Source organism: Homo sapiens, chromosome 18 (assembly GCF_000001405.40).
Source record: "Homo sapiens chromosome 18, GRCh38.p14 Primary Assembly".
NCBI lineage: Eukaryota > Metazoa > Chordata > Mammalia > Primates > Hominidae > Homo > Homo sapiens.
The window spans coordinates 62,081,118-62,106,911 of NC_000018.10; the positions used below are offsets into that span (position 1 = coordinate 62,081,118).

At 34.1% G+C, this 25,794-nt stretch overlaps 1 protein-coding gene across 47 annotated transcripts in view, besides 2 other annotated features; it reads right to left on the minus strand.

Annotated features, from left to right (window-relative positions):
- PIGN (phosphatidylinositol glycan anchor biosynthesis class N) overlaps positions 1 to 25,794 on the minus strand; it is a 169,442-nt gene that overhangs the window by 63,503 nt on the left and 80,145 nt on the right. For all 47 annotated transcript variants that reach the window (XM_047437461.1, XM_047437431.1, XM_047437439.1 and 44 more), the window contains 10 exons: positions 25,672 to 25,764; positions 24,426 to 24,517; positions 21,677 to 21,785; positions 19,958 to 20,066; positions 14,731 to 14,833; positions 9,359 to 9,461; positions 7,639 to 7,725; positions 4,092 to 4,147; positions 3,414 to 3,489; positions 1,556 to 1,629 (listed from right to left, as the gene is read on the minus strand). In XM_047437461.1, the coding sequence (XP_047293417.1) occupies positions 1,556 to 1,629; positions 3,414 to 3,489; positions 4,092 to 4,147; positions 7,639 to 7,725; positions 9,359 to 9,461; positions 14,731 to 14,833; positions 19,958 to 20,066; positions 21,677 to 21,785; positions 24,426 to 24,517; positions 25,672 to 25,764 (902 nt within the window). The remainder of the gene's footprint in view (positions 1 to 1,555; positions 1,630 to 3,413; positions 3,490 to 4,091; positions 4,148 to 7,638; positions 7,726 to 9,358; positions 9,462 to 14,730; positions 14,834 to 19,957; positions 20,067 to 21,676; positions 21,786 to 24,425; positions 24,518 to 25,671; positions 25,765 to 25,794) is intronic.
- Positions 15,162 to 15,331: an enhancer, noted in NCBI's record as "experimental_48670 CRE fragment used in MPRA reporter constructs". NCBI's record gives its function as "activates a minimal promoter by MPRAs in K562 erythroleukemia cells, with activity observed for the non-introgressed 18:59763597 variant allele {active_cell/tissue: K562}" and the evidence as "EXISTENCE:reporter gene assay evidence [ECO:0000049][PMID:34662402]".
- Positions 24,491 to 24,660: an enhancer, noted in NCBI's record as "experimental_48690 CRE fragment used in MPRA reporter constructs". NCBI's record gives its function as "activates a minimal promoter by MPRAs in K562 erythroleukemia cells, with activity observed for both the introgressed and non-introgressed 18:59772926 variant alleles {active_cell/tissue: K562}" and the evidence as "EXISTENCE:reporter gene assay evidence [ECO:0000049][PMID:34662402]".

The window sequence follows — 25,794 nt, forward strand, 5'->3', positions numbered from 1 at the left end:
AACTCGTCCTTGGCATTATAGACCTAATAAACAAATAAGTCATTAGTATATATATCCACCCCCATCTTAACTGTAGGCTTCCAACAGTTGTAAGAAAATGATTAGCAATATAAATAATAAGACTGTTAAAAGGTGAACAGAAAGGAGAGATGATATCAGTGATTATTTGGTAAGCAGTATGGCAGTAAGGGTGGCTGGACTTCAGCTTGTGTGATGTATTAAATAAAGAAAACAGGATGAGAAGCTAGTTTGCAATAGGAAGAAAAGGCATCACTGGCTTCAATGTGTGACATTAAATTTGATGAGTCAGTGTGATATCCAGGAAGAAATGTCAGTGACTTCTGAGTTTAAAGGTCAAAAGAGACCTTTCTGAGCCACCTTTGCCTCAGTTCTCTCCTGTTGTGTTTTGTTTTTCATTGCACTAGTTTCCAGATAGCATTACTATAGACACGCACAAATATAAGAATACATACACACATACATTTTGATGAGCCTTCTATTTCTCATTCCACATGTCCCCAGCTCTTCTTATTTAAACCTTAATTAAAATCCCTTCTAAAAATCTTATCCACCAACAAAGATGCAGGAAAGTACATGTCATTCACCAGTTTTTATTGCATCTAAGTAAATATCTCTTATGTGATATTGACAAGGCATAAATACTTTCAATATTAAATTCATGTAAATATCCTGCAAAAATATACTAAAACTAGAAATGAGATTTCTAGTATTCTTAAGCAGTGGAAGAAAAACTTTTTTCATTATGGCATATCCATAATACTATGCTAAACCCAGTTCTAGCTTATACTCATCAAGAACAACATGCAAATTTATGCTAATATTAGTTATTTCTTTCAGCATTGAATATGCTAGCTTGATTCAAGAATAACAAAACTGCTAAGCTTCATATTTATATCAAGTATTTTACAGAGTCCCTGTGCTGATGAGGCAATTTTATTGGTTAAAAAAAGCAAATAGTTGAGTTGACAGCTTTTCTTCCACAGTCTTGATTGCTTAAGACGGACTGCTCCAGAAATTCCTCAAAACTCAGAAAGAATACTTCCTACTCCATTTGTCAAATGTACAGAAATCATGACAGAGAAACTGAGTATATTTTTGACATGTAGAAAAGTTAATTTTAAGTCATGGAAAATGAAATAATGTTAACATATTTATATAACATATTTAAGAAATAAACCAAAATAAAAGTTAGAGTATCTTTTGCTTTTTGTAGGCACAGTTATAACAAGTAATTAACTACAATAATTTAACATTTATGTTTTACTGTTTTCTAGGGAGGTTCTTCACTAGCTTGAATAATACTCTAATAACATTTTATTGCTGAGAAAGCAAGTTTGTCTGCTAGAGGCCCTAATCAACTAATTTCCTCTAATGACAAGCAACACTGACTAAACGGGTGAAAATTTTCTCATTTTTGTAATAAACAATCTATGTTACAGTGTCTTAATAGCAATCATATGAAATGTCTTCGAAAGTTTACTCTCATCTCCTAAAAATAGGCAAATCAAATGTTTCTTAAACTAATTCATCTTACCTTTTTGACGATAACTGAGTAGTCAACTGAACTGCTTCAAAAGCACACATAACAAGAACAAAGGGGATTAAAATCTGTAAAAGAACAATAAATGATGCAAGGAATAACTGAAGCATCTGAAACACTTTTTGAAAAAAATACTATTTCTGCTTACAGAAATATTTTCAATTTCTCAAGTAACTTTTATATATACTAGTGAAGAGCAAACACTGAAATAAAAGCATGATACCAATGGCACATAGAACGGTGATGAAACTGACTTAAAAACCTACATTAATAAGCTATACGATGTAAAAGACAGCAAACATCAATACATATTCCAAATAAAAGCCTATTACAAATTTTGTTCCATTTAATGTATTCTAATAATTAACCACAATGTTCAAAAGATTCCAAGAGGGTGTGAAAAGCACAGAATGCCCAAATCAAATAAATTATATAACCTGATAATTTGATTCACAGATCCTTAAACCCATCTGGTTATTTAAAACTATAACATTATAAACATGATTCAGCTTCTTAATCTTTGCCTTTTTTAAAAAAATACATTTATTTATGATTATAAAATTCACACTCATTATAACAAATATGAAAAAATTTATAAAACATTTGAAATAAAGCTATAGTAAAATTTATGCTGGTTGAAAATCCATAATCCAGAGCTAATACTGTTAATATCTTGAGGTATTGCTTTCCAATTATCAATTTTGAAAAATATATATAACTTGATGTTTCAAAACAGGGGGAGATATGGAAAATAAATGATGTTCAAGGCAGCATACAGTTCTTTTTCAAGTGAAGGACATATGAATAAAATAGAATTCAGCAGGGCCCTCACTTCTAGACACATCAGTCAACAAAAGTCATCAAGTGTATTATGTCATTAAAGCTTACTGCATTGTGCTGGAGATTAAGAACCTAGCATTCTAATTTGAGCTTTGTCTTTCTTTCTTGCTTGCTTGCTTGCTTGCTTGCTTGTTTTTAATTAAAGGCCAATGGTCTTTAATAAACTGGGAAAAAAAACCATTTAAAAAATGTGAGTGAAAATTAAGGAAATAGCAACATGTTTTAAAATAACTCAGTAGGGAACAGGATGTGAGAAACTGAACATCTTTTTAACACTTCTTAAACTTCCATTTGTATTAGTGTAATAACAAAAAGTAGACATTAATCCTATTAAGATGACACCTTTAACCATTTTTATTCATAAATCTGAACATTAGGTAATCGGATTTTAGGCAAGAATCAGTTTACTTTATTTAAACAAATATATACTAAGTAAAATGTGTCAGGCATTATGGTAAAGGGAATAAAACAAGCATAATGACCTTAGAGAAGAAGAACATGAATTACATTCTAATGAAGAATCTGAACCCCTGGAAAGCTGAAAATGGTCATTATCTTTGTACTGTCAGCACCCAGCTAATATCTGGCACATTACTAAATATAGCAGAAAATGACACATTTGTTGAATGAATTGATCAATTCCAGGTACATGGCTTATGAGAAAAGATTATGTTGGCAATCTCATGGGTAGAGAACATGGGTTCAGGGAACCTTATACTCTTTAGCAGCACTGCAGTTTGATCCATAGCTTCCCACAGGCTTTAATCACATCTGATAAGATCCTCTCAGATTAACAGTTGAATCCCTACTCTTTTGAAGTCAAATGCACTTATGAGTAAAGCAAAAAGATTAACTGTGGTTTGGAGTAAGGGATAGAGGGTCTCACCTCCAGTTTAGCAGTGCCAACTCTGAAAGGATATCTTCTTTCCATTGCTACTTAACTCTGTCTAAATGACTTTATAATCTTAATCAATCAATAGCTTAAGACAAATAACAAAATAAGAAAACTAACCTTCCACATCATCAGGGCTCCCATCATAAAAGGACTGAACACAGTCAGAAAGCAATAGACAGAGGCAAGATCAAAGCTAGGGAATTATAACAAGGAAAAAGAATTTAGAATTCACTCTGTAACTTTAAAAGAATATTCTTCTAAAAAGATGTTTAAACTAATTCTCTGAAATCTACTTACTAAAACACAAGCAAACATCATATTATGAAGCCACTAAAATGAACGCAGTAGATCCGAATGTGCCAATACATACCAATCTCCAAAATATATCATTCAGTATAAAAAGCAAGGTGCAGGCTGGGTGCCGTGGCTCACGCCTGTAATCCCAGCACTTTGGCAGGCTGAGGCGGGTGGATCACCTGCGGTCAGCAGTTTGAGACCAGCCTGACCAACATAGTGAAACCCCGTCTCTACTAAAAATACAAAAATTAGCCAGGCATGGTGGCGGGCACCTGTAATCCCAGCTACTCGGGAGGCTGAGGCATGAGAATCGCTTGAACCTGGGAGGCAGAGGTTGCAATGAGCCGAGATCACACCACTGCCCTCCAGTCTAGGCAACAGAGTGAGACTTGGTCTCAAAAAGAAAAAAAAATAATAAGGTACAGAACAAAAGGTATAGAAGTCCCAGGTTGCATTATTTTTTAGTTATATATATATGCCACTTTCATTTAAAATTACCTGTTAATAGAAGCTATATTTCCAGTTCCAAAAAATGCTGTCACTAAGAAGAAAACCTAAAGGGAGTCAAGGAAATGGCAAAACAACTCAGATTTCATACAAATTTCCTTTTCATTTAGAAAAGATATGCTAATTTTACCTTGAGAGTAATTTGCTCTTTTACTTGTACCATGAATTGTTTTCAATGAACATTCCATTATAACTCCTTGTGAATGCATTTTAAAACAGCCAGATTGAAGAGGCTGTGTACCGAGAATAATGAGGCCTGAGAGGTCATCCTCACTCAGTTCCTAGTAAGTTATTTTCCTCTTCCCTAATATGAGCAAGGTGGACCATATCTGTAGTGGGCTGCTAGTGATTTTTTCAAAAGAAAAACATGGATCTAGTGTGTATCATAGATATTTTCAGCTGAGAGACACAGTTATAGTCTATATATGCTTGCCGTAAACCCACCACCTGCTAAGCACATGCTAGACCACTTGAAAGGCTCAGGAAGAAACAAGATACCATGTTTTAAAATAATTCAATAGAGAATGACACATGAGAAAATGCTGAACATCTTTTTGACATTTCTGAAACTTACATTTGTATTAGTAAAGCAATAAAACATTGATATTAATCTTAGTGTCCAAGAACTTACTGCTAGCAAAGCACTTAAAATGGTGCCTAGCCCACTGAAAGGGCTTGATAAGCATTAGCTCTTTCATTACCATAGACACCCACAGAAATGGTGAGGCAACGCCGAAGAGGAAGTACGAATCATGACAATTTTCAGTGAAAAAGAGGCATTTGAGTTGGTGAGCTGAGCCTTTAATGTATTCATGCATTCAGTGATTCAACGAATCATCTAAGCAACCGTTTATTGTCTAGTAGATGTCAGAGACAGAGATAGGCACTAAGAATATAAACATAAATAAAATAGTCTCAAAATACTCAAATGGTGACTAAGATATGATGACAGAAATAGAGGAGAGACATTTTAAGGTAAAGAACAGTGAGAAAAAAATGACAACGCCAAGAAAGAGTAAAAAGGCTTGACAGATAGGAACTTAGACTTTATCGAAGGATATGGTGAAAGATGAAGCAAGAAATATAGACTGGTGGCATATTAATAAAAAGCCTGAACTGGGCCGGGTGTAGTGGCTCATGCCTGTAATCCCAGCACTTAGGGAGGCTGAGGCGGGCAGACCACGGGGTCAAGAGATCAAGACCATCCTGGCCAACATGGTGAAACCCCGTCTCTACTAAAAATACAAAAATTAGCCGGTCCTGGTGGTGCACGCCTATAGTCCCAGCTACTCAGGAGGCTGAGGCAGGAGAATCACTTGAACCCGGCAAGTGGAGGTTGCAGTGAGCCAAGATTGTGCCATTGCACTCCAGCCTAGTGACAGAGTAAGACTCCGTTTTTTGTTTTTTTTTTTTTTTTAAAAAGCCTGAACTTTATTGTGGATACAGTGAAGAGTAGCAAATCTTTTAGGCTAGTGTTATAATCAAGAAACATCAGTGACTGTGTGATATTCAGATAAGGGAGACAAATAATTGGAGGCAGAAAATTTAAGTTGGGAGCCATTTCAGTAGTCCATGTCAGAGATAAGGAAATGTGAACTGATGCAGTGGGAATGAAGATCTAGAGTGAAGGGAGCCACAGGGACTTTAGAAGTGGACAAGGAGCAGTTAAATATGACAACAAGTTGGATGTCTTGGGGACTGGGAGTATGGTGATGCCATTAAATGAGATAAGGCCTGCCAGAGAGAGTGACTTTGAAGAGGAGTGGCAGTTGTTAGTCAGTTTGGGACACATATTTGGTGATGCCCAGCAGAATGTTAGACATGTGGTCCTCGAGGTCACGAAAGGGGTCAAGTTTGGAAAAACACATCTTAGAGTTGTTTGCATAGAAGTGTCTACCAAAGTTACAGGAAAATATGGCATAAACCAGGCACAATAAAAGAAGGTTAATGGTGGAGCATGGAGAAAAAAGTATGGCTGAAGATCAGGCAAAGGAAGTAATTATAGAGAAGAAGAATAGAAGTGATATAAAAATCTTAGAAGAAAACTTGTACTGTGTACTGGATGTGAAGGGAAAAGAAAGAGAAAACATAGACTTGAATGTTAAAGTGTGGTCAGGTAAACTGAATAGATTTGAGTGATCAGGAAGCCCCTGCAGACCACTGACAGTACAACTTCGGCAGAGACATCTGACAAATACTGATAGAGCACTGCTACGTGCCAGGCATTGTTAGAGGTTTGCGGATATGGCATATACATGGAGAGAAAATAATGGCAGCAACTATAAATTTTTCTTTCAAAAAATTAAACAGAAAGGACAAGATGAAATTATAATTTAGGGAAATGCAAGGTTCAGTGGGTAAAGTGCTTTAATAGTATTAGCTGATTGGAAGGAACCTGTAAAGAGAGAAAGAAAGCAAAACAGAGTAAAAGCAAGAGACAGAGAGGATGGAATATTTATTTCCTGTACCTGAGGTCTAGACTCTGCACCATGGTCAGCTCAAAGAAAATGCCTCCAATACTTACAAGCCATGTATCTGATAAGGGTTAATATCCAAAACATACGAGGAACTCCTACAGCTAGCAAAAGTAAAATAGTCACACTTAAAAAAGAGAGTAGAATGATGGTTGCTGAGGGCTGAGAGGAGTGGGGAAAGGGGAAATGTTGGTGAAAGTGTATGAAGTTTCAGTTGTGCAAGATGAATAAGGTCTGGAGATTAAATGTACAGCATGGTGACTATAGTCAGTAATATTGTATTGTATACTTGAAATGCGCTAAGAGAGCTGATCTTAAGTGTTCTCACTGCAAAAACAGAAAGAAAGAAAAAGCAGTAAGTACGTGAGGCAATCGATATGATAATTAGCTTGATTGTGGTGATCATTTTACAATGTATACATATATCAAAACATCAAAATATACACCTTAAATATATACAATTTTTGTCAATTATACTTCAATAAAGCTGAATAAAATAAAATAAAGGAAATACATCCCTATGATTTCTTGCAGCTAGTCAGTCAGCCTTTCCAAACTAAGACTTTCCTCTGCCATACTGTCTTTCAAACTTCTACTACTAACAACTTTCACAACATTGCCTCTGATGTGATCCAAAAACCTCTGTGAGACAGATGTTATGTAATGTGAGTTCAGAATAAAATGCACATAAAAAGATATGAACTCATAATTGTGGTTTCTTCCAGGATGTGAGAAATTCGATTGAAGTCGGGAGTTGAAAGACTTTGGCTTTAGCTCTAATGTTTTAACTTCTTAAAAACACATTTTTAAAAAACATATGTGACAAAGTACTAATGGCTAATATCTGAATAGCAGGAATATATATATATACATACATAAAATTATTTATACTTTTCTATAGTTCAAAAAAATTTTTAATGTGAATTACATGAGAAAACTATAGTTCAGGGAGGTTAAAGTACTTAACACCACTATTAAGTGATGGGCAGAAACACCTTCCATGTCTTCTTACTCCATTAAGTGGGAGTTGCAGCTCTTTAAACCAAAGTCTCCACAAAGGATACAAGGAAAAAGGCCCTACGGATGTCATCCAGATATAGCTGTCGAAACTGAGTTATATCAGTATTATAAGAGAACTGGATACTGGTGAGCTGTGAGATAATAAGAAAAATATTAATGCACAATAACAGTTGGCTTATTTCTATATTTGAAGGCAAACTTACAATGGCTAAGTTACAATGGCTAGAAACATGCCCTGTGCTGACAAAAAAATAAACAATAAACAATAAACAATAAATCTTTCCCTAGGGTTTAATTACACCTTAATAAAATGTGCCAAAAGGTAAAATATGTTGCTAATAATATATAGAACACAGTTGTAGTGTTGCTATATGTGTAATAAAAGTGAGAATTGAGTTTTTTCTTATCTTATATAAATGCTTCATTTTAAAATCCCTATATAATTCTTCCCTCTTCAAAGACTAATTTCTCAGAGTGTCCTGATCATCTTAAACCTAGATATGGTATCATATTAAAAGACATGGTAAAATTAAATGTTTGTTTATTTGTCCCTCTATTAATTCTATTTGCAGAGAAATTTTCTTTCTATAAAAAAGCAACATAGTCCTGTCTTTGGTAGAACAGAAAGCCACTCAATCCAACAAGGTGAGTGCACTCTTGCTTAATCACCCTCCACAAATAGAACACTAATGGGTGAATTTAAAGGTAGACTTTCCCCACTCCTACTTCCCATGTAATTTTCTAGTAAGTTCTTGGGATGTTTTAATACTCTTTTCTAGAATGAAATACATTTGCTTTTAGTTAAAAACATAGAATTTAAAAAGTAACACAATAATCCTCAGCCTGACAAAATATTTAACATTAAGGCTAATCTCTGAGTATTTACATGAATCTGCTCAAAACTGCTTTTCATGTATTATTTTAATATTCAAGGACTAAAAGTTTAAAACCAGTAATTATTAAATATGCCTCAATAAAGTTTCTTCTTTATTGAAATTAATCATTCTGAATTATCAATAACAATCTACAAACTCAACTGGAGCCATATAACGATGGATCAACTATGAAAGTATTTTCTGTAATATTCATTTTATCCGACCTTAGTAAAACTGCAAATATTCTATCACCAATTTCTCAGAATTACCATCAGCTCTAAATATAGACAAGAAACATCAATTTAACTCTGTAGCCCACCATGATAAAGGTATCCTTAAAAATTGGTTGGATTTTAGCCAACTCAAAGTATTATGTGTTGCATACACAATCTAAGATTTGGACTGAGGCCACAATCATTAAGGCAGCAGAATAAGCAATTTGGATTAGGATGACCAGAAAGTGAAAAACAACAATAGAAACGTAAATGTCACCTTATAATAAAATTCATAAATTGACTTGTGACAACATTAAAATTCTTCCAAGATAAATTGACGGAAGGAAAAATTGGATGTGAAATATGAAGAAAATAAGATAAAAAGCATTCTTTTCTGTATTCCTTCACTTATATTGACTTTTTTAAATCAATGATCCTCAAGTAATCACTAAGAAAAGCCCAACCTATACAACAACAAAATTGTGCTTTTCTGTGATAAGTAAAAAATCTTCCTTATCTATTATTAAGTTTAACTTAATTATTAATGCCAAACAACTAAAACTTTTAACACTAAAATTTTAAGTAGAAAGAATTTTTGAAATAATATTGCAACTTCCTTATAGGATAGAGACTAATAGTCTCAAATAAAAACAAAAATGACTTTGACCAGCTACCTTTTGTTTACAGCAAACACCAGATTGTTGTAGAGTTTCTTGTTCTATGTTTATCCAGACAAACATCAAACAAGACAACACTAGTGGAAAGAGAGCTTCATACCTAACAGGTGGGGAAAGGTAGAAATGAAAAGAAAAAAACAGTAAAATAAGTAAAAATGCAAATTTACACTGAGGTCTTTCTCAAAATTAAAACAATTTGATAATACTTCTAAGTCACAATATTACAAAACTTAAGAAGAAAGTAGGAAAGTAATATTTAAATTTTAACTCCAACATCATCTTTTTTGAGTGATGTGAAATCTTGAGATAATTATGTGTTTAAAATAATAGAAATATATAAAAGCCATTCATAAAGCAAATGACAGATATACATAAAAGAGAAAGAAGGCATGAAGACAAAGGTAAAAAGATAATTCTTGAGGTAAAATTATTAACATACATAGAAGAGGAAAAGGAACACTCTAAATTTTCAAAAAAATGGGCGCAACAAGAACACAAACACGAAAATTATGTTTGACCTTATTGATAACATATGGAAATGAAAACAATGGTGATATATCATATTTGCCAATATTAAAACAACAGTGTTGGCCAGGCGTGGTGGTTCATGCCTGTAATCCCAGCACTTTGGCAGGCCGGAGCAGGCAGATCCCGAGGTCAGGAGTCGAGACCAGTCTGGCCAGCATAGTGAAACCCTGTCTCTACTAAAAATACAAAAAATTAGCCGGGTGTGGTGGTGTGCGCCTGCCCAGCTAACTCGGGAGGCTGAGGCAGGAGAATCACGTGAACCCGGGAGGCAGAGGTTGCAGTAAGCTGAGATCACGCCACTGCACTCCCACCCAGGTTACAGTGTGAGATTCTGTCTCAAAAACAAAACAGTGTTGACAAGAATGTGATGAAAAAGGAACTCTCATATGCTCTCTATAGGAATATACACTTTCTGGAAGACCATCTGATACTATGTATTAAGAATCTCAAAAATATTCATATACTATAATGCAATAAGGCCATTTCTAAAAATTTACCCTGAGAAAATAAGCAGACATGTGCTACAATTTCCATTATAAAGATATCTGTTGTAATATTGTTTACAGAAGCAGGAAACAGAAAACAACCTACATGTCCACCGGGGAATGATTAAATGTGTGGTACACCTACAGGCTGGAGTGTAAAATGGACACAAAAACAAAGAAGAAATGCTCATGAGACAACACAGTGATAGAAGCCTTTTCTAAACAGTTTCCGCTTTGTCTGGGGTAAATGTTCCACCTTCATAATCCCTAAATGCTCTATTATAGTACTTACACCATCTTAATCACATGTCTACCTGTAAGCGTCTATTATTACTTTATAAAATCTTTGAAAACCAAGTCTGTCTGTCTCATTACCACTGCTGGCCCAGCTCACAAATATTTGCTGAGTGAGTTATTTATCTAATCAGAAGTTACAAAACAAAACAAAGCCTTATTTCCTTTTTGAGTCTTTCAACTACTGAACTCTACAGCATACGCCACTATTTCCTAAAGATAAGAAAGCAAAAAAAACCAAACACTTTAAACGCTATTACAAATTATAAAATTATAACACTGAAGACTGGGCAGAAGGAAAGATTCAGGTTTCAGAAAGCATACACAAATCACTTGATATATAAGACTTAGAAGGCCCAGGGATATGAACAGATACCTACACACATGAGAAAATATCATGAGTAAAACAAGTACAGAAAACTGTACAAAGCAGTGCCACTTTTGACCTATTAATATAACATTTGATATTCTTATTTAAAAATGGAAATACCAAATACTGTTACATATTTGTTACAGATATGATGAAATAGTACCCCTCATATATAGTTTGTTGTAGATATTATACATTGGCACTGTTCTTAAGACAATTACAAGTTAAAAAAAGAAAGTTCACACCCAATGGCCCAAATACACTATATGAGAAGTGAACAAAGGAAATAATCTAGACTATGAAAAAGCTTATGCATAAAAACATAACTCAAAATATTATCTGTGATAATAAAAAGTTGAAACAAAATCCATATCATGAAATATTAAATATCTATTAAAATGGTGGCTAGAAAGCCTAAGAGCCACCTAGAAAATGCTTCTGAAATAATGTTAATTAGAAAAAAAGATCCAAAATAGAACATGTACTGTGATTAATTCTATGTTAAAAAGACAAATACGGGGGTAACACCAGAAAGAAATATACCAGAACATTAACAAGAGTAGAGTTAATACATGATTTTATCCCTTATTCCTACTTTCGATAATGTGATGACACTATTTTTCCAATGATTTTTTAAAAATTGAAAAACAAATATTTACAATGCTTGTATCCCTGGCCTTTCTTTAAAGTTCAGTTCAACATCATTGATGGCACTAACTCAGCTTTCCTATTCAAGCTCTTTCTCTAGTCAGTCTTCATTTCATACAATTCACAACTTCATTAACTCACAGTAACTTAATTGTTTGATTTTGTAATTGCCTAACACTGTAAAATATAGTTCTTATTTTATAGCAGCTTATAACTCTATTGTACACTAGCAGTACACTAATGGTTCTCTCTGTGTGATTGCATAGTGCTCTGGACACTGGAGATATGAAAGAAAAAACAACTGTTGATTAATTGAATTAAGGTGCATACTCTGAACAAAAGGCAACCGTCATTTTTTTAAAGATTTGAAGTTATATATGAAGTTACTGTTTCCTAATATTTAAAAACATAAATGTCATAGTTCTACAAATAGTAGAATTTATTTCCTTTCAAAAACTATACATTATGATCACTTTCTTTTGTAAAATGGAGATGAATAAACCAGATAAAGATAATCTTCCTATGGGACTTTATCTCTTAAAACAATCAATAGTTCATATAAAGTCTGTATATCTGCATTAATAAACTGAAATATCAATGAAATGTCATCACCGGCTCAGGGAGAACATAATGAAAACTTACTAAATTAGGATCTGCTGGTTTGGTCTCTGTGAAAATTGAATAGGGCAGACAAGGCATTTAGCTTTGTATTACAGTTTGCTAAGCAAAGGAATAATGCAAAGAAAATTTCAAAGGGAAATGTTTAACCAACTTTAACCAAGAGAACAAACTATTTTCAAGTATTACAATAGCTCCATTTGCATAAAAATAATTAAGTGCTGATTAAAAATGAATCTTCTTTATTCAATAAATCAAGGATGCATTGTAAGAATTTAGGATTACTGCTGCTATATTTCTATATTATAATATAACTACATTTCTTTTAAATACTCTGTAATTCTGAATATTCACTAATTTACGTAGAGAACCCTCCAGGTCATCCAAAATGGTGAGGCTGAATCATAACAGGTGGACTGTGTTTTGCAAAACTGATTTGACACTGAGAAGATGTACTGATTGAAATGACTGAACTGTGCTATTTCAAGATACTCTTTTTAATTTTTTTTGGCAAAGCTAGATATACTTTCTGATGTTGAATAATGTATCTCTTAATGAATTCATTAACAAGGTTATATAGTGCCTTATTATTCTGATTTTAGGTATAAATTTTCACTTTTTAGATTTTCTTAAAATAAGTTATGATTATGATTATGCTTATTATGATAATTTGTTTGGGCATCTCCTATGACTATTAAATTGATGATTTAAAATATTTATCCCCTATGTAAGTTACATGATTAACTAATGCTACATTATGAAATAGTTTTTCATTCAAAATTAAACTTCAATTATCCTTGCTTCTTTCTCTCCTTTTCTAATCCAGCAAATCAGATCTATTTTTATATTTGTTTACATTTTTAATCAACTACACATCCCTTTAAATCTGTTTATTGCTTTAGAATTTGAAAGTTCAAAAAAGAGAAAGGCCTATTAAGAGACTGTACAGAATTTAGTACATATTTCTGGACGCTTTCAAACATTTATTTCCTTAAGTCAACCTCTGGGTGTGATCTCTTAATAAAACTCACAAGTCTCCCTGAAATGGTAGGTTAGAATAGAAATTATTTTAACTTCTGCTTCCTTATATAGATTAAAAACTTGTGCATAGTTGAATTCATTTTTACTCTCATAGATTCTAATTTAACAAAATTATTTATCCTGAAATTTCACTAATAAAGGGTGAAAACTGTGAAAGATTTTAAGCTTTCATGATGTTCATCACTCTTGAATAACAGATGCTCATAAATTTCCAGTTTTATTTTAAAGTTATATTTCAAAGGTCTAAATCTCAAAGGAAGCCTATCTTATAATCTTATTAGGTAACTGGTAAAAATTTCCATGACATTCATATCACATCTTCAGAGCTGTGGCCCACATCTGGTTAGGCAGGGGGAAGGGAAACAAAAGAAGATAGACAGCTTTGGTGAAAAAAAGGTTTAGGGCCCCACTGGATCATCTCTTATATGAGACTACAAGAACTCCTGGGGTCTAGGTCACTTAGGGTGTTAGAGTCTACTGTGGGAAGACTTTGAGAACATCTCTCTAATTTTGAACTATGACAACTAAGTTTCCAAAAGGGAGAACCTGAGCCTTAGACCCCAAATGGCTTTACAAAATCATTTGAACTGTGAATAATCTCATAGCATAATGGTGAATCCCTAGGTTTAGTCTAACTTCAATCAAGATTCTGTATTTGGGCCAAAATTCAAACTGTTTATGAGTGGTGTTTATTCACTGTTTGTTCTAGTCATTGTTTGTTATAATGTACACATTTCTTACCCTCATAAAGATTTAAGTAAGGACAAAATTCAAAAGCAAGAAAAGAATTCTTCAAAGTTAATGGACAGAGTATATCCCTGTCTTCACTGAGTTCTAGAAAATGCTTTGGGATTTACCCCAAGTCAAGCTGCTGATTTTTTGTTTTGTTTTGGCAAGAAAATTTCAATCTTAAATAAAAATCTTTAAAAGTTTTGGGAAAATATTCTGAAGGTTCTCTGAATCAAATGAATATCTGAACTGTGAGATATGTAAGATTAAAAAAATACTATATTCAAAGAAGAATGGACAAATCAAAGCATAATTTAAAATCAATATAAGGAATGCAATAAAAATAAAAATCAATGAGACAAAATTCTTCCACAATCAGAATTTTTTAACATTATAGTTAAATGGTATTTTAGCAACTTCAGAAAAGAGAAAGACAAAGACAGCAAGCAATATCATGAAATGGATTTAAAAAACAGAAAACAGAAGATTACAGATCAAGTCAGATACAGTTCTCATAGAGAAGAAAATATTTATAATGTATCCCTCAAGATTTAGAAAACATTTTTTATTTCCAGAAGTTAAATACTAATAGAGAAAATATCAATATATCATTTAAAACTTGCTGCTATAAAATTAAATTGTTAAAAAGTTTATACCCTGTGCTTAGAAGTAGGTAGGTTGACATCAATGAAAGAAGTATGCTGAACAATCGCTGAAAGAGAACTGGAGAACTCAGTAGTGGCACAACCAAGGAAGAGGCTGCAATGAAACAGAACAGGTCATCTGTCAGTATAAGAGACACAAAAAAAATGTTAGCGTAGGGCCGGGCGTGGTGGCTCACACCTGTAATCTCAGCACTTTGGGAGGCCGAGGTGGGCAGATCACCTGAGGTCAGGAGTTCGAGACCAGCCTTGCCAACATGATAAAACCCCGTCTCTACTAAAAATACAAAAATTAGCTGGGTGTGGTGGCAGGCGCCTGTAATCCCAGCTACTCAGGAGGCTGAGGTAGGAGAATCGCTTGAACCCGGGAGGCAGAGGTTGCAGTGAGCCGAGATTGCACCACTGCACTCCAGCCTGGGTGACAAGAGTGAAACTCCATCTTAAAAAAAAAAGTTACTGTAGAAGCTCTGAATAATCTAGTATCATTTATGGCATTTATTGTTTTGTGACCTTGAACATGAGGCTACATTTCCCCTAATCACAGTCAAGCCTCACATTTTTAATTAACATTACATTTCATTTTTTTAACTACGCCCATATTTTCTCAATTTATATTCAGCCCAGATAACTATAATAATATTAACTCAAAAATGAATTATTTTCTTTTTTTTTTTTTTTTTTTTTTTTTTTATTATACTCTAAGTTTTAGGGTACATGTGCACATTGTGCAGGTTAGTTACATATGTATACATGTGCCATGCTGGTGCGCTGCACCCACTAATGTGTCATCTAGCATTAGGTATATCTCCCAATGCTATCCCTTCCCCCTCCCCCGACCCCACCACAGTCCCCAGAGTGTGATATTCCCCTTCCTGTGTCCATGTGATCTCATTGTTCAATTCCCACCTATGAGTGAGAATATGCGGTGTTTGGTTTTTTGTTCTTGCGATAGTTTACTGAGAATGATGGTTTCCAATTTCATCCATGTCCCTACAAAGGATATGAACTCATCATATTTTATGGCTGCATAGTATTCCATGGTGTATATGTGCCACATTTTCTTAATCCAGTCTATCATTGTTGGACATTTGGGTTGGTTCCAAGTCTTTGCTATTGTGAATAGTGCCGCAATAAACATACGTGTGCATGTGTCTTTATAGCAGCATGTTCATGTCCAAAACACCAAAAGCAATGGCAACAAAAGACAAAATTGACAAATGGGATCTAATTAAACTAAAGAGCTTCTGCACAGCAAAAGAAACTACCATCAGAGTGAACAGGCAACCTACAACATGGGAGAAAATTTTCGCAACCTACTCATCTGACAAAGGGCTAATATCCAGAATCTACAATGAACTCAAACAAATTTACAAGAAAAAAACAAACAACCCCATCAAAAAGTGGGCGAAGGACATGAACAGACACTTCTCAAAAGAAGACATTTATGCAGCCAAAAAACACATGAAGAAATGCTCATCATCACTGGCCATCAGAGAAATGCAAATCAAAACCACTATGAGATATCATCTCACACCAGTTAGAATGGCAATCATTAAAAAGTCAGGAAACAACAGGTGCTGGAGAGGATGCGGAGAAATAGGAACACTTTTACACTGTTGGTGGGACTGTAAACTAGTTCAACTATTGTGGAAGTCAGTGTGGCGATTCCTCAGGGATCTAGAACTAGAAATACCATTTGACCCAGCCATCCCATTACTGGGTATATACCCAAAAATGAATTATTTTCTAATGAAATAAAAGTATTACTCAAGATTTAGCACTCTTTGCTTAATTAGGCATTTATATCTTAGTTCAAAGACAACTTACTCCTCAGAAACTGATTTTTTCCTAACCCATTCCTTCTCCAAGTTTTCCCACCGTAAAGTATGCACTGACAGTTGCAGTATGCCCCTTGGAAAAGAGAAACAGGAATGACTTCACCATGCATGAGAGATGTATCGACTCTCCCCCGGGATAATAAAAGCAACTACCCAAGTGGAGGAAGGGCAGATGAAGTGGGTGGGGTGGCAAAACATAAACTCCTCCATCTCTATTCTGGGAAGGAAATGTGCATAACTTTCTAATCCCCCTAGTGCTCTAGAGGTTGAAGATAGACAAGTTGGGATGAAATCCCGGCTGAATCACTTACTAACTGTTTAAACTATAGGGCAAGTTCATTAACTGATCCAAGCAGAAATTTACCCACCTGTCAAATAGAGATAACATTAAAAAGTTGTGAGGATTAAATACAATTTCACCTATACAATGTTCCCTGAGCATAGTGCCTAGCACATAGTGCTTAGTAACTGTTAACTGTGGTTATTATTATTAGTCAACATCTTCTAAATTAAGTTACATGTAATGTCAATTTCACCTAAAGTCAAGTCACTGCAAGATTTAAGACTATGAAGTTACATTTTTTAATACCCTTAGATGAGTAGCTTCTGACTTTTTTTCCAGATGTGTAGCTCCAATCATAATAAACTGATACATATTTTAACTGGAAGGAATAACATTTCAATATGTCTGATTTTAAAAGTCAGTTAATCTGTTGGACATACGGTGGTTGTTAAGAAATAAAAAAATAAAAAGCAAATAATAAAAGTCAGTTCAAATGAGACCTCTTCTGTAAAACTGTACACATTTTCTGTCCTTGTTTTACTTTTGTCTAAATGATTGATAAGGTAATAAAGGGGAAATAAGAGTCTCTATTCTAAATGACATAAGTAGAACCAATTTCAAAATATACCATCCATTTGGAGATCATAGCATATTAAGCAAAAATGCTCATTAAAGCTAGACCATGGTGTATCTGTGCCTAAAAGAGACCTTTGGAGATACTGATGACTTACCTATGAGTTAACAATTTCATGTCTTACATCATTTTGTAGGTATCCTCTAGAACCTAGCTCTACCAATCCCAAGGAGGAAAGATCTTGTTTAAAATACATGCCCAGAGAAACTTTCATGTTTGGTGAACAATAGCAGTAAACTGATTCTGAATCTCCTCCTCACCATTCCAAAACAATAATCAAATCAATAAGGACAATAAATAAAATCATATAGGATACTCCAAATAGAGAAAGAAGCATATAAAACACTGCATAATGTACAAGTGTGCTCTGCTACAACATAAGATTTGACAGAATCTTCTTGACAGAATCTTCAATTTGTTGTAGTAGAGCACACCTACACATTATGCAGTGTTTTATATGCTTCTTGAGAACAAGCCTACGAGTCATGTTAGTAAATGTGAATGAGCTCAACTCACCTTTTTAGTTAAAAGAAAAAAAATTGTCGAATTGGCATATAAAGCAAAACCTAACTCTACGCAGAATACAGGAACTAATCTTAAAACACAGTGATTCAAAAAGGCTAAAAATAAAGGCAAATGGAAACAGCACGAAATCTAGAGTTGCAATCCTGATACCAAAGTATACTTTAGACCAAAAACAATCAATAAAGCAAAGAAGAACACTTTGTGATGTTAAAAGTAACATTCCACAATGATAATGTAATAGTTATGAATATTTTGCTTCAAACAACATATATAAAACAAAAATTATGACATCCTTCACAGAAATAGAAAAAATCCTAAAATTCATGTGGGCCCACAAAAGACTCTGAATAGCCAAAGCAATCTTAAGCTTTTAAAAAAAGAACAAAGCTGGAGGCATCATGAAGTCAGGCTGAAGGCATGATTTCAAAGTAAACTACAAAGCTATAGTAACCCAAACAGCATGGTACTGGCATAGAAACAGACACATAGATGAATGGAACAGAATAGAGAACCCAGAAATAAATCCACATATTTATAGCCAACTCATTTAGACAAAGGCACCAAGAACATACATTGAGGAAAGGACTGTCTCTCCAATAAACGGTGCTAGGAAAATGGAATATCCATTTTCAAAACAATAAAACAAGACACTTATCTCTTACCACATAAAAAAGAAATCAACTCAAAATGGATTAAAGGCTTAAATGTAAGACCTGAAACCATAAAGTACTAGAAGAAAACATTTGGAAAACACTTCAGGACAGTAGTCTGACAAAGACATTTTGGGTAAGACCTCAAAAGCACAGGCAACAAAAGCAAAAGTAGACAAAGGGGATTATATCAAGCTAAAAAGCTTCTGCATAGCAAAGGAAACCATCAACGGAGTGAAGAGACAACCTACAGAATGGGAGAAAATATTTGCAAACTACCCATCTGACAAGGAATTAATAACCAAAATATATAAAAAGTACAAACAATTCAACAGCAAAAAACCTATTAATCCAACTAAAAAATGGGCAAATGATCTGAGTAGACATTTCTCAAAAGAAGACATTCAAATGGCCAACAGGTATATGAAGAAATATTCACTATCACTAATCTTCAAAGAAATGCAAATCAAAACCACAATGAGATATCATCTCACCCCAGTTAGAATTGCTATTATCAAAAAGATAAAAAATAGCAGATGCTGGCAATGATGTGGGGAAGGGGGAACCTTTGTACATTGTTGGTGGGAATGTAAGTTAGTACAGCCATTCATGAGGGGTGGGCCCCCATGACCCAAACAACAAAAATCATCAAAAGATGTAAAAGTTAAAGCATATGTCAAATTATTCACAGGCATTACAAAGTGTCTTTTCTGAACAAAAAACTTGAGCTCAAAACTTGCTCTTGTCTTCCAACTGGAAGGGAAAACCTAAGTCCTTAAATTACATGTTTGCTTCACACATATATTCCAACATTCCTAATTAAGAGGACTACATAGAAAAATATGCTTTCAAATGTCTAACTAGCTTTAAAAAATATGTAAGGTATACTAGTCGATGTTATTTTCAGGAAGGGAAACAGATAAAATTTAAACATTTCCCAGTCCCTGTGTAAGAACAGAGAATTTATGAATTGGCATGAAAATGAGGCATAAGATCCTCTTCACCCTTATCTCTTTTGGAATCACTTAGTCAAATCTTATGAGATGTTAATAAATACATAGCTTTATTATCAGCTCATAAATATTCTATCAAATTATCTTGTTAACACATGCATGAACATAAAAATTCTCTTTGTTAAATTCCAGCAAGAGATAGAAATAATAGCCAGTTATTATTATTTTCCTGCAATAAAATTATTTCTTTCAATAACAATGATACAGACATAAACAGATCATTTTAAAATAACTAAGTTGATGTCAAATTACCTCACCTGGTTTGAGTGGCCTCTTACCTAATGTTGCCCAGCTAATAATTTGATTCATGAGAGGCAGTCCTTGCTTCCTGAGTAGACTACTCTGAGTGCTATACACAACATACATGGAGAGCACTGTGCTCAGCACCTAAAGACAAAGATGAAATAGGTTAAAAAAAGAGAAGGTAGTGAAAGACTCTAACTAGCAAGAATGTAAGACATTCTTATTTCTGAGACATTAAAATGTGGAAAAAATGTGTATCTTGGAATCAATGAAATACAGTGGACAGTACAGGAACTGATGCAAGTTAATAAACCTAATGCAAAAATGAATTTTGTAACAGAGTTACCTAATACTCAGGGGTATGTCTAACAAAGCACGTAAGAATGTTAGCATGATATTCTTGGCTACCCTAGAGAGAGATTCAGAAACATTCACTTCTGTCAAAGTACTTATTATTCTGGATACATTCTGTCAAAGCTACTATGGCTTAAGTGTAAAGCCAGTCAGAGTACCATTTAAAAGGAAACATATGTTCCAATGGCTTGACAGGATTTTTGACAAAAAATTCTTCTCTTTTTATAAGTTCCCTGTTGCTCTCCAAAAATGAATTTAACTTGTGATGTAATCCTTCAAATGTTGTATATTTTTATTTCAGAGTGTTCTTGGAAATACCATCTACTATCCAAGCTCTATTCTTGAGGAAATTTTTTGAGAACACTCATATGAGTTTTGCTTTTTGTGTGTGGTCTAGACGTGGTTATTTATTTATTTATTCAGTTAAAAAGAAAAACAGATGTTTTCCATCGTTATCTATGGAAAAAGTTGTCATTTTATAGACTATCACATGATATGATCTCTGTCACAACCCTATCAGATATTATCTCTACAGATTAAAAACAAACTGAAGTGGCTGTGTGGTGGCTCACGCCTGTAATCCCAGGACTTTGGGAGGCCGGGGTGGGTGGATCACCTGAGGTCAGGAGTTCAAGACCAGCCTGGCCAACGTGGTGAAACCCTGACTCTACTAAATATACAACATTAGCCAGGCGTAGTGGCTCTCGCCTGTAATCCCAGCTACTCAAGAAGCTGAGGCAGGAGAATCACTTGAACCTGGAAGGCAGGGGTTGCATTGAGCTGAGATTGTGCCACTGCACTCCACCCTGGGTGACAGGAGTAAGACCTCATTTCAAAAAAACACATACAAAAAACAAAAAAACCACACAAACTGAAATCAAATTACTAAAAAGTACCCATCTAGTATGCAGCGTAACTGGGAACTGACTCAATTTTGAAACATCAAGTTCAAAGTTATTTTCACCACACCAAAGCCACCAACCATGCTGAAGTTTATTTTCACCTGGGACATTAACTGAAGTCTTAAACTGGCTATTCTTAATATAAACATACCCCAGGCTGCTTTCACTTCAAGGAAGTGACCTTCCCTGACCCAAATGAGGACAATGTAGAATCTCAGTCCAGATGAAGCCCTTTTCAGTTCAACTTTTTGGTCAATACAGTTTCCATAACCTCTGCTCTTCAGGCATCACTGGGCTGCCTCTTATGGACCTTTTGCTATTTCATACCTCTTAAAGAACACATTTCCATGTAGCATCTTAAATGAAAGCTTTCTTCTCAGCTGGCAGATACTAAGTAGCATAAAGGTAATGGCATTTTATGAACATAATTAAATATAACCATAAGACACATTTCAGTATATCATTAGTATAACATAGTATTGAAAATCTGTAACTGACCTGTAACAGATGTACCAATAGCTCTTCCTTTATAAAGCTATCTTTTCTTTTCATGAGAGATGTTACAACACACAGGGATAACAGAAGAACCAGCAAGCCTGCACCCATCCTGTTTTGAAATACAATTAATTTTAAATTTTCTTCAGATATTTACGAACACATATCAGATGGAAATATGAGACATCTTACTCTAATACAGAACCTCTCAGTCATTTGGCTTAATCAAGAGGAAGTAGCAAAATGGGTACATTTTCAGATTTTTAAGAAAACTTTTAAGTTTTAAGATTTTAAGAAAACTTTTAATCTTAGGATAAAGATACTGCTGGATGGGGTTATTTGTAACCTCTCCCCACAATTTTCTAAGTATCTCTACCTTGCTTCTATAATTTAATTTAAAAAAATTTTAGGCATATCAAATACTATAATATTTAGCCTGAATTGGGCAAATTTACAAAAATTTACAATATAAAAGATAGCTAAACAAGTATATTATCAGTATCTACAACATGTATTTTGTGATTATGAAACTTACTCATGCAAAAAGTATCTACATATATAACCCACATTATTTCTAGCAGGAAAAACAGCTCCCTTCTGTGACAGACCTTGGTATTTTCCTCAGCTGCTCCTGGCTGAGGGAAGGGGTAGGCAGTGGTCACATGGGTGGCATGCAGGTGAGGCATTTGTACAGTAATGAAATAACAGTAAGGAAACACACCAGGTATAGTATGTTTCCTAAAGTCAAAGGTGACTGATACCAAGGAAATGGTGCCCTATTGTTGAGCTCTTTCTCACCTCCTTAACATCTGAATAACATAGCACAGCCAGAATTATGCTGAGGATGAAATCCAGAACCCAAATAGAACTAAGAGAAAAGGAATTGGTTGAAGAGAAAAAAGAAAGAGCAAAAAGCAGAGCTGGACACCTAAGAAGAATGCAAAGCAGGAATCCCCAGAAAAATGCTTGATGGTTGGTTGTGATGCTTCAAATACACTCTTTGAGAATCCTAAGGAGAAAGGTAATCATATATTCAACATGGATTATCATTAAAATTTAGGAAAAAATAGTCACATATGATCAAGATTCTTTGCTTTTTTTCTCTTTCTTAATTTTTAAAATAATTTGGTATCTAAACTTATTGGCAAATATGTTTTTACTTTAGAACACTGGAGTAACAGACATCACAACCATGTTGTACACGTTTGCTTTTTCCTTTAATTGTATCCTTAAATGTTTCACAAAATCACATCTTTGTGATTTTCTGAAGAAGGGAGATGCTGTGACAGATGAAAAGGAGAGTAGAAATTTCCCCATGAACCAGGAATCAAAATAAATAAGTTGCAAATATAGCTAGTAGGATAAACTTAAAGTCACTGAGCAATTTAAATTTAGAGGGAAACAATATAATTTTCTAAAATATAAATTAGATTTCTCATATTTTAACAAGTTTATTTGCTTCCCACATTCATCTTTAGTAGAATACGCAAGTGGCAAATTTATACAATTTCCTTCCCTTTTAGCATATGATAAATTCTGCTCAACTATGGCAATACTGCTTGAGCAGGACTGATAGGCAGAGACTGACAAAGGGAAGGAAAGGGGCTTTATAGAAACAATACAAGAGCTTACAGAGCTATCTGAAGCAAGAAATAAATGAAAATATTGGAATTCATTTTGTCATATACTATTTATAGGTTATGACAGTTGCAAAATGTTTTTACCTAGTAACACTCTAATAAAGTATGGCTTAGATAGTATGGTGTTAGAATTCAATACAATTATTTTGAGCTCTGCTAATAAAGTGACTTCCTGGGATATTTCCTGGTCTATTGCATATTGGTATTCTCATACAAATAGGAGAAAATGTATAGAATCTCATAAATCAGCACATATTTTTACAAAATAGTATTTAGTTAATCTTCCTTGATTTAAAAATATATACCATTATCCATTACAGACTTGGTTAGAATGTTTTAAAAAATGCTTATAGCATTCTGAAGAAAGTAACAAAGATGATTTAATTTCTAATTCCCATGATTAGACAATAAGAGAGGAAATGTTAAATGAAATAATGATCATATGCACACTCAAACAGCCCATAATTTACTTGACAATAAAGTGCAGTTAAAAGCAAAGGTAACCAGTTATTTTATAAATTTATTTAGGTCTATTGAAGAGAAATAAATATAGCAGCACAGTAAGGAATTTAGGTAAGATATGCAGAAGAATTTTCAAACAATTTGAGTGGTTAAACATGGGAAAGCTGGCAAGGTGAATAGAGTTTCCTCCCATGGAGATCTTTACATTCAATTTAGAATAGCAGAAAATTTAATTTTTACATGACATTTTAGTGTGGACATGATTAAAGCAAAGAGGGCTAACACAGTAGCTTTGAGACATTTTTGTTTTGGCAACAGAATGTTTTTTCACATGAAACTAAAACTTTTACTGATTCCTCCAAGCATAAAAGAAAGAAAACCTTCTAGACTTAAACAAAAAAAAATGGGCGGGATTTTAAGTTATCAGTGGCACAATTTCATTATGAAAGCCCGAAAGCACCTACTAGGAGGTTTAATGACTCTTAGAACCTAGGCCAAAATCATGACTAATGGTTTGATATTGGTATTTTAAATTCCCGTTAGTTCACATGATTTTATATTCTTGACCAAGATTAGGTTCAAATTTTACAGTGTTAATTGAGGAAAAAAAAGTGTATTGAAAATAGAATAAAATACAATATTATTCATACACTAGAGAGATGTCTGGCTTTCGACCTACAACCGGCATCAGTGGGAACACTGCCAGGAGCAAAGAGAAGAAAGTCCAACTCAGTGAGGTCATCTAAAATCAAGAAAAAAGTTATCTTTAGACAAATATGGTATAGAAAACTATCATTAGTGTTTCACAGACTATATGACTGTGAAGGTAAAAGGAAAATGCAAAGCCTTACAGCTGTTTATTATTTTATTTTTCAAATACTTTCTAGCAGAATCAACAGCTAACTACTTTAAAAAGTAATAGTTACTATTTGTGAAGGACCTGTTGCATAGCAGGTATAGTATTAGGTATAATATGAGCACTTTCTCATTTAATTCTCACAATAACCTCAAGAGGCAGGTATTATCATTCCCAATACATCAGATGATGAAACAGAGCTCAGAGAAGTTAAAATATAAGTAGTACCAGGTCCATGACAAGTAAATAAAATAACCAGTATTTAAACCTGCATAAAGTGCTTCATTCAATTTAGGTTAGACCATATATTGATGAAGACATCTATAAAAAAGGTGGCCTACAATAATCACCAAACAACTGAGCCCAGAAGGAAAATAAGTAAAACTACTTTTGTAATTAGATTAAGATCCCTCACAAATTAAAAGATCGATAATCCCATTCATTGAAGATTTTTTAATAAATTCTCAGAGTAGAAAGAAGATATCTTCCTGCTACTTCTATCAAAAAGTATCAAAGTGGAAATATAAGTGCATTCTTTGTAGAAGCACATTGTAATTCCCTATGTAGCTGAAGGAAGAAAATCAAGACTGACTATATTTTTAATAATCTATAATAAATACATACTTATCCAGAAAAAAAAAAAACTGAGTGGCTCAGGGTAACGAGGGAGGTGTTTCCTGTGACTCACAGAGTGCAGACCCCTAAGCCACTGGGCTGTGCTGCTCTGGACGACTCCTTGCCTGGTCCATTATCAAGATATTTGAAGCTAAACAAATCCAGGAAATGCTTCAGAGATGGACATATCAGTACAACTTATATAGCATTTCAATTACCACATAACTGGCCCATTTTGATGTGAAAGTCTAAGTGAATTACTGAAACCTTACAGGTAATGTCAGTCCTCCTATCAATATGACTAGGCTCTTTTATGTAAGAACACATTCTACCCTTTTCTTTAAAAATAAACAGTTCCTTGAGTTACACATGTGTCAAAACAAAGTAGTTACTAATCTGTCCTATGTCAAAATGAGTACTCATACCTTTGCTCGAGTCCACAGCCGAGTGAGAAATGGCCAAGCTGCAAAGGCAGTAAGTCCAGCGGTAAGCATATAGCGGTAGAAAAAACTGAGAACCTAGTAATGCATTCCAAAGAAGGAATGAAA